This window comes from Homo sapiens, chromosome 2 (assembly GCF_000001405.40).
Source record: "Homo sapiens chromosome 2, GRCh38.p14 Primary Assembly".
NCBI classification, from domain to species: Eukaryota; Metazoa; Chordata; class Mammalia; order Primates; family Hominidae; genus Homo; species Homo sapiens.
The window spans coordinates 43615041-43628093 of NC_000002.12; positions in this window are offsets into that span (position 1 = coordinate 43615041).

Below are 13053 nucleotides of genomic sequence, written 5' to 3' on the forward strand. Positions count from 1 at the left end.
AGCTAAGAGCTGAGAAAGAAATCTTGAAGCATTGGCTAGAGCAGATAAGAAATGCGGTCCTGAAGAAAGAGCAACAATGTTAGGCTGGTGTGAAAGTAATTGCGGATTTGCCATTAATTTTAATAGCAAATAATAGGATGATCTAGGGTGACACAGGTAAGAAAAAAGGAGACCAAGAGGAAAAAAATCATTAGATGCAGAGGAAAAGTTAATTTTTTTTTCAAATAAAAGGTATTTTTTTTCCCTTAAGGAAACAAAAAAGAAAGATTTGTAAGTAAAATTCTTCAATAATATCTATTATATTAAACAAATTTCAAGAAATCAGTTGGTTTTCTTGCTTTAAAATAAGTTCAGGGAGGCTGGGCACAGTGGCTCATACCTGTAATCCCAGCACTTTGGGAGGCCGAGGCAGGTGGATCACGAAGTCAGGAGTTCAAGACAAGCCTGACCAATACAGTGAAGCCCTGTCCCTACTAAAAATACAAAAATTAGCCAGGCACGGTAGCAGGCACCTGTAATCCCAGCTACTCGGGAGGCTGAGGCAGGAGAATCGCTTGAACCAGGGTGGCAGAGGTTACAGTGAGCTGAGATCATACAAGTGCACTCCAGCCTGGGTGACAGATTCTGTCTCAAAAAAAAAAAAGAAAAAATTTCAAAGAATTGTTTATTTATTTATTTTTGGAGACAGAGTCTCACTCTGTCATCCAGGTGGGAGTGCAGTGGTGCCGTCTTGGCTTGCTACAGCCTCAACCTCCCAGGCTCAAGTGATCCTCCCGCTTCAGCCCCCCAAATCACTGGGACCACAGGTGTGTGCCACCACAGCCGGCTAATTTTTGTATCTTTTGTAGAGATGGGGTTTCATCACCGTGCCTAAGCTGGTCTGGAACTCCTGAGCTCAAGCAATCCTCCTGCCTCAGCCTCCCGAAGTGCTGGGATGGGGTGAGCCACCGTGCCCAGACGAATTATTTTATAACATAAAAGAATAACACTAAACTTCCAAGTGTAGGGGCTACCATATGAATCAGTTTAAGTATGATTTGTTTGAATAGGCAGCTCCTGATGTCATGGAGGAGGGATGGGAAAAATGAAATTCATAGGAGAGAGTGATCTGCAATCTGCCATGGAAAATGTTAGATGTTTTATGGGATAAAGTAAACCAAAATTCTGGCATGAAAGTCTTGCCCATCAAACTTAAAGGAAGCTACATGGCAATAGCTTCAGATGCCAATAGTATCTCTGAGAAAAATTTATTTTTAGTATATTTCCAGTATACTGATGTCTATCATACATCTTTGATGTTTTCCAAACCTTTTAAAATACGTACATTCTTGTTAGAGAAATTTGAACATAACCTACCTCCTTTGAAATTATGACTGTATGTTTTTGGATTAAGGCTTCAGTAGATACGGGGATCCTACTTCAAGGAAGGGTTTGTTGCCCTGGCTGCTGCGAACGTGGTAATCAGACAGCTTCCAGCTTTCACTCCCATTGAGGTTTCCCTAAACTGTTGTCACATCCAAGCACGTGCCCTTCCTGGGAGGCCTACGTTCACCTGCTGATGTACTGATGGCATCCTGGGCATGAAGGCCTGGCTATTTTAGGTCATTGTGGGACGATTCTGAATGAAATTGTACGTGCCTAGGACTCCTCAGGACATTGGCTGAGGCTTTGAGGAGTCTACGTTAGTTTTCTTAAAATCCTACGTCCTCTCCTTCCCTTCACAAGAGGTGGTCCCTAAGTATCTTACATGCCAAGCCAATCTCAGCTTCTGCTTCCACAGAACTAGTAGGAGACAAATATCAACAAATTTATGAAATAAAGTTCATGTGTGGTTCTTTACTTCCTTTACTAATCAGGCAAGAACTAGAATATGGATAGATATAATAGATATACCTATATCTATAGCCACACCCATCTCGATTTATATCTATAATATAGACATACATTTATATCTGTAAGATAGATATAAATTGAGATGTTGACTCTGTTGACTCTGCAGACATGTGGCACTGTTATTCTCTTCTTGATGCAGAAAAGTCCTAGGATTTTTCCAGTCTTGTCCAAGTGAAACAGAAGCAGAATTAATAATCCACTCATTCATTAAACAAATATTTAGTGAGTGACTATGCCTGCCCATTTGGGTTCCTAGTGTCCAAAGATACAAAATATGTAAGACATATTTTCTATTCTCCAAGGAATTTCATGTAATGTTGAAGAAAAACATTGCTAAGGGATATAATGGAGGAAAAAACTAATTATAGTAAAGGGATGAAGAAGGAAGTGATTATTTTGGCTTATGTGAGACAAGAAGAGCCAAGTAGGGCACGGTGGCACACACCTGTAATCCCACCTACTGAGGAGGCTGAGGCAGGATAATCCCTTGAGCTCAGGGGTTCAAGGCTGTGGTGAGCTATGATTGCACCACTGCACTCGAGCCTGGATGACAGGGTGAGATCATATGTATAAAAAGAGGGAGAGAAAGAGGCTGGACATGGTGGCTCATGCCTGTAATCCCAGCATCTTGGGAGGATGAGGTGAGAGGATCGCTTGAGGCCAGGAGTTCACGACCAACCTGGCCAACATAGCGAGACCCCATTTCTATAAAATTTTTTTTTAAAAGAGAAAAAGAGGAAAAAAAAAAGCCACATAGTAAGGGATTTTTCAGGATGTAGAGGTGATGAAGTGGGAAACAGGGTGGTATTCCAGCCATTCCCAGCAGAGGGAACAACATGTGCAAAGACTCAATACAGGAAACAAATCTCCACCCTGGGGAGGGGTAAGCTTTTAGGTCCAGCAACATCCCCTCACTGCTCAGCCTTTCTGCAGATTGTTCTCTTTGCATGAAACATTCTTTTTTTTTTTTTTCTAGGCAGGGTCTCACTCATTGCCCAGGCTGGTCTGGAATTCCTGTCCTCAAGTGATCCACCCACCTTGGCCTCCCAAAGTGCTGGGATTACAGGTGTGCGCCACCATGCCTGGCATGAAACGCTTTTGACTCTCCTAATTTTTCACCTGGATTAATTTCTTGTCTTTCATGCCTTTGCTAGGACACTGCTTCCTCCGGGAATTACCCTGATTCTCTCGAGACTGGGCTAGATGAGTCTGCTATACAGTCCCACAATGTCTATCACAGCATTATCACACCGTGCATTAAATCGCCTGTTTACTTGTCAATGTTTCCCTCTGGCTAAACCATAACTTCCTTGAAGGCAGGCATTAGTCACTGTTGATCAGCAGATGTCAACACAAGTGCTTGAAAAATAAAAGGTAGTGTTCGTTAAATGAATACATGAATGCTGCCAAGCGCAGTGGAGTTAGGAAAGCATATTTTATTTATTTGATGAACATTTATTCCGTACTATTATGTGGTAGACATTTCTAAGTACTGAAGGTAACAGGAATGAACAGAACAAAAAGCTTCATGGAGCTTACATGCTAGTGGGGAGAGACAGAGGATAGGCAAATTGTTGGAAAGTACGAAGTGGTGTAGGACAGAAGATTATTATTTCATGTAGGGTGGTCGGGGAAGATGTCATTCATAAGGTCATATTTGAGCAAAGACCTAGAGGAATTGAGAGAATGAGATACAAATATTTGGCATATAGGGGATACATTGGAAACATCATCAGCAAGCAATACTTCTTAAAATTGCCCCACTAATGGTGGTTCCTTATTGTGGCTAATTTCTCTCTGCTATTGTGGGTAATATCGTGAGGATTTTTGTTAAACTCTCACTTTTATTTTGGCTATCTCTTTCGATACTACCAAAACATCTCCAGTTTCTTTAATTCACTATCCATTTTATAAGGGTTCCTGTAATGGTTGGGAAATCCTTTTGTTTCTAAAGCATTTTGAAGTCAAGGACTAACCCAAATAATGCCTACTGTCAGTACAAATATTTTATCTGTCGATAGCTGGCAGGTCTGGGCAAGAGTAGTTAATATGGCCACCTGGACTGATTTTTTTTTTTTTTTTTTTTTTTATGAAGTCTCACTCTGTCGGATTCAAGTGATTCTCCTGTCTCAGTCTCCCAGGTTGCTTACAGGCGCACACCACCATGCCAGGCTAATTTTAGTATTTTTAGTAGAGGCAGGGTTTCACCATGTTGGGCAGGGTTTCATCATGTTGGGCAGGCTGGTCTCGAACTCTCGACCTCAGGTGATCCGCCCACCTCGGCCTCCCAAAGTGCTGGGATTACAGGCTTGAGCCACAGCACCCAGCCCATCTGGACTGATTTAATTTCTGTGAGAAACTTTTATTTCAAGGGTAAATTCAAGCTTGTGATAGCCTAGGCTGCCTGGCAAGTTTTAGTTTTTCTTTTTAAGTATGAAAAATCACAAAATTAAATCAGGGATGCCCAAGGAAGTCTCTAGGAGGTCCATAAAGGAATGGAGAGTTCCCTGTTAGGGGTTAAATAATCACAGAGTTCTTTTTTCAGATAAAGGAAGGGAAGGTGGTTGGTTAGTGCTGCAGTAATATGGGAAAGGCAAACAATAACATTTTATTTATTTATTTGAGACAGGGTCTCACTCTATTGCCCAGGTTGGAGTGCAGTGGTGCAATCACGGCTCACTGAAGCCTCAACCTCTTGGGCTCAAGCGATCCTCCCCCCTCAGCCTCCCGAGTAGCTGGGACTACAGACACGCGACACCACACCTAGCAAATTTTTTGTAGAGACGGGGTCTTGCTATGTTGTCCAGACTGAACTTGAACTCCTGGGCTCAAGCAATCCACCCGCCTCAGCCTCCCAAAGTGCCGACATTACAGGCAGGAGCCACTGCACCTGGCTAACGATATTTTATAAAGCTTAGCTGACTAGCTGAAAAGTGATGAGCGTGTTCTGTCAATAGAAGAGTCTATATGGTATAGGAACCACTAAGTTTAGTGGAGACGTTAAAACAAAACAATAGAAGTTTTTTTGTTTTGTTTTGTTTTGTTTTTGAGATGGAGTCTTGCTCTGTCACCCAGGCTGGAGTGCAGTGCTGCGATCTCGGCTCACTGCAAGCTCCGCCTCCCGGGTTCACGCCGTTCTCCTGCCTCAGCCTCCCCAGCAGCTGGGACTACAGGCGCACGCCACCTCGCCCGGCTAATTTTTTTGTATTTTTAGTAGAGATGGGGTTTCACCGTGTTAGCCAGGATGGTCTCCATGTCCTGACCTCGTGATCCGCCCGCCTAGGCCTCCCAAAGTGCTGGGATTACAGGCATGAACCACCGCGCCCGGCCAATAATTGAAGTTTTTACACATTTTATTGTTGCTGCCCCACAGACAAGGTGGCTATGTCTTGCTTATTCAATGAAATTCTGAAATTCAAGCAATAGGCCTCTAAAGATGACCATGTATTTGAATTATTACCACTAACATTTATTCAGGCTTCTTATGAGCAAAAAGAGAAATACAGATTGTGAATCTAGAATCCTGAAAGAAGTATCTTAGTAGACAGTTAATATACTAGTTTATACATGAGCGTGCCTTTTTAAAACATAAACTTGAGAGCAAACAGTCATAGAGAGACTAGAGAAACTACTTTTTTTTTTCTTTGAGACAGAGTCTTGCTTTGTCGCCCAGGCTGGAGTGCAGTGGCACGATCTCAGCTCACTGCAACCTCCGCCTCCTGGGTTCAAGCAGATTCTCCTGCCTCAGCCTCCTGAGTAGCTGGGATTACAGACGTGTGCCACCACACCCAGCTGATATTTGTATTTTTAGTAGAGATGGGTTTTCACCATGTTGTCCAGGCTGGTCTCGAACTCCTGACCTCAGGTGATCCACCCACCTCGGCCTCCCAAAGTGTAGGGATTACAGGTGTGAGCCACCATGCCCAGCCGGAAAGACTATTTCTTTAAGACTAGTCAAGTGTAATAGTGAAAAGTGGGGAAAGTAAAACAAGGAGTTTCATCTGTAACTGTGAATAATCAGTTGAGATAAGTCATTATCTTCAGACAAGCCGAAATATATTGGTATTAACATATGTACGTAACTATAATTTGCCTAAGAAGATAAACTCTTTTTTTAGTGTCCGGTGTTTTTTTTAGTGTCTGTCAGGTGTTTGGTGAACAAAAGACTGCTCATACAAATTTTGAATTAAAATTTGAAGAGTTTTAAACAAACCTAACTTATTTCTATTTTCCCTTCTTTTATAGGGTGATGGAGCAGCTCTTTGTGTTATTTAATGGTCATTTTAAGAAACTGAACTATACTTTAGGTATAAAAAACATCATAACAGGTTTTTCTTCTGAATTTGAAGCTTAATTTAGGGAAGGCAACATCAGGAATGGTTAAAGAAGACAAGGGATAAGTTGCAAATATCTAAAGATGAAAGTGTCACAAAACTGTAAAAACACAGGGGAATAAACAACAACAGTTACTAAGAACATTTTTTTTTCAAAAGTAAGGACTCAATCCAAATTCTAATTTTATTCTCCTTTGGCGTATTATTTACATTACAATTTGCAGTTAAGAATGTATTGATATACCTTCATATGTATGTGCTTCATCATCTATACAAAGATATATAAGTATACAAATAGATATTAATTTAAAGGTTTTATAATTTTAAAATACAATTAACATCAGTATAGTAAATAAAACATTGTATATATCATACTCAGTTTGCCATACGACAATACCATAATTTTCTTAATAAACAAACAGAAAATCATAACCACTGTCTTGTATATGTTTGTATTATAAAACATTACAGTATTGTATTTAGCATAATAAAATATTTATATTAAGTGTTAAATTTAACAGAAGTAACAAACTTTTCTTTTCTCCAGACACGAAAGAAAATTAGAGAATTGAAAGCCAAAATCTACTTAGTTATTTTCTTCTCTTTGAAACTTATTTAATATTATTCTAAGAAGTTTGGGGAGGCAAAAATAACTAACTAAAAATATAGATATAGCATGTTATTCAAGTATATTTTCATACTTTGTTAATCAATTGTCAATTTAAGCAATAAATATAACTTAAAATTATGTTTAGTGACCAATGTTTCATATTTGTTTCTCTTTTGTAAACTGTCTGCTTGTAAATGCACACAAACATATTTAAGTATTAACTTAATTGTTTGTCTAAGGTTTTAAAGTTGGTTAAAGATCTGGAGATTATAATTTAGCTAACACATAAGTTCTTATGATTTCGAACATTGAAGAATTTTATAAAATTAAACCCTTTGACCAGACATTCATTATCGTTCCCTTCAGTTGAATACAGTTTTACACATATAAATTTTTACTTGAAGCAAGTGGTAATTGATTTAATTTATAAAACCAGTATAGGAAATTTAAGAAGTTTGTATTATAAGAAATTTGATTCTGGTCTTGAACAAACCAAACTATTATGCAGACATTATTTTAATATGGTAAACTAATTTTTACAGACTCTCAATCATGACAAAATATCTTCTTTTATTTTAGAATTAAAACCTTTTCTTTTTATCTCCTTGCTGTTATGTAGGCTATTATGTAAATATACCTTTATTAGGGTCGAAAAGAAGAAACACAATTTAATAACTTTTTCTTCCTTTTAGATAGTTTTGACTGCTTATCTAGACTATAATCCTAGAGTAAGTACATAACTGAATGCTTTTTAACAATTAATTAATCTTTAAAGTATCCCAAGAGAAGAAAAATGAGAGGAAAAAGAATAGGAAAAAAAGTAAGGAAGCCAGCTTCAGACAAATGTCAAATTACATTTTGTAAAAAGGTAATTATGGTCCCTCTGTAAGAAGAGGAAAGGAAGTTTAGATGTAGAAAAATAAATTCCACATATATACACACAAAAGAGAATGACATACAATTGGTTTTGACATAACTTGAGTCCTTGATAATTTTATGGAGACATACAATTAAAATGTCAGGTCTTATTAATTCCCAAAGTACAAAAACCAATAAGGGGATGTTTCCTGGGTTAAGCAAAATGTTCTCTCTTTTAGACAAACAAGACATCGCCTTGTGAGGGTTTCTTCATTCTTTTGTCTTGAGATACTCCTCAAATGAACAATCTTGTTCGTGTCAAAATTTCCCCCAAATTGGCTATTACAATTCCAAACTTTCCCTGAAAAAATTGTGCCAGTTAGAAAAGTAAGTGTACAAGTTATCCTATGAGGGGAAAAACATGAAGGAGGCAGCTGTTAGCTTGGAAGAAGTGCAGTGTTATATTGAGAAAGCGCCTGAGAGCTGAGTGCTCTGTAAGGATGGTGAGTGGCTAACTTTGTGTCTCTGGAGCTTGGCCAGAGGCCAATAGCTGCTAATCCACAGCTGGACAAAATGCCCGATTTAGTGCAGATGAAATTAAACAGAGAAGTTCTCAGGAAAACAAAGACAAAGCCTGAGGTTTGTAACGGGGACCCAGGGAAAAGTTTACTGAAACTTTTCAAACTGGTCTGTGGAGACTTTCGAACACAGCCTTTGAGGCTAACTCAAAGATGAACTTCTTAGACTTGTGGCATCCTCTCCCTGCAGAATTTTCTTTCTATAGGTAACATGCAAAATGCTAGTCAACTAGCAGCAGGTGTTGTTAGAGGGCTAGAAAATAATTTTGCCGAACAACACAAATCTGCTTCGATTTGTTTCTTTAAACCCCAGGGGATGTTATTCCTATGAAAATAAAATAAATCCAACACTGGGCTTCAATGAAGGGTTTCAGTGGAATATTAGAGTCCAATTTAACATGGGAAAGTAAAACACAAAGGGTCTTAGATGTGCACAGGACTGAGTTGAGGGTCCTGCTCCAAAGTGGTGAAGGCTTCAGGTGAATCTCACTGGAACTTCTATTTGTGTCCATTTCCTCCAAAGACCACCAGACTTGTAGTTGAACTTATACCATACATACACTGAACGTTAACTTTAACCAGATATTGGGGGAATAAAGGGGAATTCAAGGAAGAAGTGAGGTTTTGCTCTGGATTATATGCTATTAAGAAGTGAAGATAATTTTATGATTGGGCATTGTAATGACTATTTTTTTTTTTTTTTGGAGACAGAGTCTCACTCTGTTGTCCAGGCTGGAGTGCAGTGGCAGAGTCTCAGCTCACTGCAACCTCCGCCTCCCGGGTTCAAGCGATTCTCTTGCTTCAGCCTCCTGAGTAGCTGGGATTATAGCCACCCGCCACCACACCTGGCTAATTTTTTGTATTTTTAGTAGAGACAGGATTTCACCATGTCGGCCAGGCTGGTCTCTAACTCCTGACCTCGTGATCTGCCCGCCTTGGCCTCCCAAAAGTGTTGGGATTACAGGCGTGAGCCAACGCGCCCGGCCTGTAATGACTCTTATCTGAAAGGAGGCAAGACTACAGTGAGGCTAAAGCTATAATTGATAAAGAGGCGGTGGTCACTCATATTAGCCAGGACAGGGGAATACTTTTGGGACATTTGCATTGTGAAACTTGCTTTTGTCTATGCTTAGTCAAAATTGTGCAGTAGTGAGGTGTTTTGTTTTGTTTTTAATCTCATCTCATCATGGTAACAGAGTGACCTTGTCTGATATTGATAGCCTGTGAAATTGTTGATGTCCAGTAGAACACTGTGGCCTAGCTGTGACACCATGTGCTAGCTCCTTACAACCCTGAGAATGAGCTGTACTGCAAGGCTAGTTCTCAGATTTTAAGGACGGTTTTTCTCTTTTTCAATTGGGAACAATCAACCATGTCAAATGCTTCTGTTCCATCAACTAAGGTTAGAACTGAGAATTGACCATCAGATTTTAATGATGTGAAGTTCATATAAGATTCTTTCCTCCTAGAGTGTTAAATCCAGTTAGACTTAGAACCCAAAATGAAGGACATTCGCATAAAGGCAGTTCAGAAGAGAGACTCAGTGAGAAGAGCCCCAGTTGTCCAGGGAGTAATTAATTACCCTTCATTAATTAATTAGTGTACACTTACTGGCTTTCCTTCCACCCCTTCTTCACTTCCCCACTCCCTCCTGTAACCATTTCTCAAATAGACTGCTTGCACCCAAATCCTTGTCTCTGAGATTCTCTTGTGGGAACCCGAACTAAAATAGATTGTTCTTAGACTGGTTATTTATCAAAGAAAGTAGTTGCAACCACATTACACTTATAATTTTGGAAAGCCTGAGCAACTGTATTTTTGAATTTTTGTTTCTATAAAATATTTTATTAATATAAATTATAGGATAAAATGTCCTATGGACTTAATACCAACATCCAAGAAGACAGAAAACAGAAAGAATAGAAAAGGGAAGAGAGTATTACATCAGAGGCTTAGGTTCTAGTCTGGGGTGTGTTTTCAGTTGATGCCATGGCCTTGGGCGTAAGTATTTGTCTGTAAAAGGAACCTAAAATATTTGCCTTACTCACATCACCAACCGATTGTGAGAATTTAAGAACATCATATTTTTAAAAATTTTTGAAAACTGTAAAGCACATATAAATAGGCATTATTGTTATCTGCAATGAGTTTTTTGTGTTAAAAGCCATCTTTTGGAAGACTTTGCAATTTCAAAGCTTACTACAAAGCTAGTTATCAAGACAGTGTGGTACTGACTTAAAGACAGACATATATATCCATGGAATAGACTTGAGAGTGCAGAAATAAAGCCTCATATTGACAGTTAGTTGATCTTCAACAGGATACATACAAACAACTTTTTTTTTTTTTTTTTATGAGACGGGAGTCTTGCTCTGTCACCCAGGCTGGAGTGCAGTGGCGCGATATCAGCTCACTGCAACCTCCATCTCCCAGGTACAAGCTATTCTCCTGCCTCAGCCTCCCAAGTAGCTTGGATTACAGGTGCATGCCACCATGCCTGGCTAATTTTTGCATTTTTAGTAGAGACAGGGTTTCACCATGTTGGCCAGGCTGGTCTCCAACCCCTGACCTCAGGTGATCCGCCTGCCTCGGCCTCCCAAAGTGCTGGGATTACAGTCATGAGCCACCACGCCCAGCCTACAAAGAACTTTTAATGGAGAAAAAACAGTCTTTTCAACAAATGATACTGGAACAACTGGATATCCATATACAAAGGAATGAATTTGAACCCCTATCTCATTCCATATATAAAAAATAATGGGGAAAATGAATCAAATACCTAAATGTAAGAGCAATAGCTCTAAAACTATTAGAAGAAAATAGGCATAAGTCTTCATGACCTTGCATTAGGCAACTGTTTCTTAGATATGACACCTAGAGCACCAATGACAAAAGAAAAAGCCGATAAACTGGAATTTGTCAAAATTTAAAAATATTGTCCTTCAAAGGACACCATCAAGAAAGTAAAGGCCGGGCGCAGTGGCTCACACCTGTAATCCCAGTGCTTTGAGCGATTGGGGTGGGTAGATCGCTTGAGCCCAGGTGTTCGAGACCAGCCTGGGCAACATGGCAAAATCCAGTCTCTACCAAAAATACAAAAATTAGCCAGGCAGATCACTTGAGCTCAGGAGGCAAGAGGTCAAGGCTGCAGTGAGGCAGAATTGTGCCACTGCACTCTAGCCTGGGCAGCAGAGCAAGACTCTGTCTCAAAAAAAAAAAAAAAAAAAAAAAAAAGAAGAAGAAAGAAAGAAGGTAAAAAGACAACACACAGAATAGGAGAAAATATTTCCAAATCCTGTATCTGATAAGGGAATTGTATCTAAGATACATAAAGAACTCTTACAACTCAATAATAAAAAGACAGATAACTCCAGCCAGGTGCAGCAGCTCATGCTTGTAATCCTAGCAGTTTGGGAGGCCGAGGTGGGCAGATCACTTGAGGTCAGGAGTTCAAGACCAGCTTGGCCAACATGGTGAAACCCTGTCTCTTCTAAAAACACAAAAAGTAGCCAGGCATTGTGGCAGGTGCCTTAATCTCAGCTACTTGGGAGGCTGAGGCAGGAGGACCACTTGAACCCAGGAGGCAGAGGTTGCAGTGAGCCAAGATCATACCATTGCACTCCAGCCTGGGGGAAAAGAGCGAAACTCCATCTCAAAAAAAAAAAAAAAAAAAAAAAAAAAGATAACTCGAATGAAAAATTAGCAAATGACCTGAATAGACTTTCTCCAAAGAAGATATGCAAATGGACAATAAGTACATGAAAAGATGCTTAACATTGTTAGTTGTTAGGGAAATGCAAATAAAAAAGACAATGACATACTACTTCACAACCATTAGGATGACTGTAATAAAAAGACACATAATAACAAGTATTGATGAGGTTGTGGTGAAAGTGAAATCCTCACTCACTGCTAGGGGAATTGCGAAATGGTGCAGCCACTTTGAAAAACAGTCTGGAAGTTCCTCGAAAGGTTAAACATAAAGTTCCTATGACCCAGGAATTCCACTTGTAGGATATACCCAAAGCAATGAAAATATATGTCCACACAAAAATTTGTACAGAGATGTTTATAGCAACATTCATTATATAGCTAAAAAGTCAAAAGAACCCAAATAAATGTCCATTAACTGCTGAATGGGATAAACAAACTGTGATCTATCCATATAATGGAATATTATTTAACCATAAAAAGGAATGTATTACTGATAAATTCTACAACATGGATAAACCTTAAAAATAATAGCTAAGTGAAAAATCCAGTCACAAAAGACAACATATTATACAGTTCAATTTGCATGAAATGCCCAGAATAGGCAAACCGATAGCAGCAGGAAGTGGATTAGTGGTTGCCTAGGGTTGAGGGGAATGGGAGGATTAAGAGGTGATGATTAAAGTATACAAGGTTTCTTTTTAGGTTGATGAAAATGTTCTAAGATTGATTATGATAGTGGTTGCACACTTCTGTTAATATACTAAAAACTATTAAATTATACACTTTAAAGGGGTGAATTGTGTAGTATATGAGTGATATCTCATCAAAGCCACCATAAAAAAGTCTTCCGAAAGACTATTAGGAAAACATGAAAGTTTGGAAAAAGTTATGCTGTTTTTATACTAATTAAAAATTTAAAACAATCTAACTGTACAATATTAAATGCTTAAATACACTAGGATAAAATCTTAGGATGGACTATTAACCAATCATGAAAAACATTTTCAAATAATACTTAATGACAAGGAAAATGCTCACAATAATATGTTAACTATAAAAGCCTGAT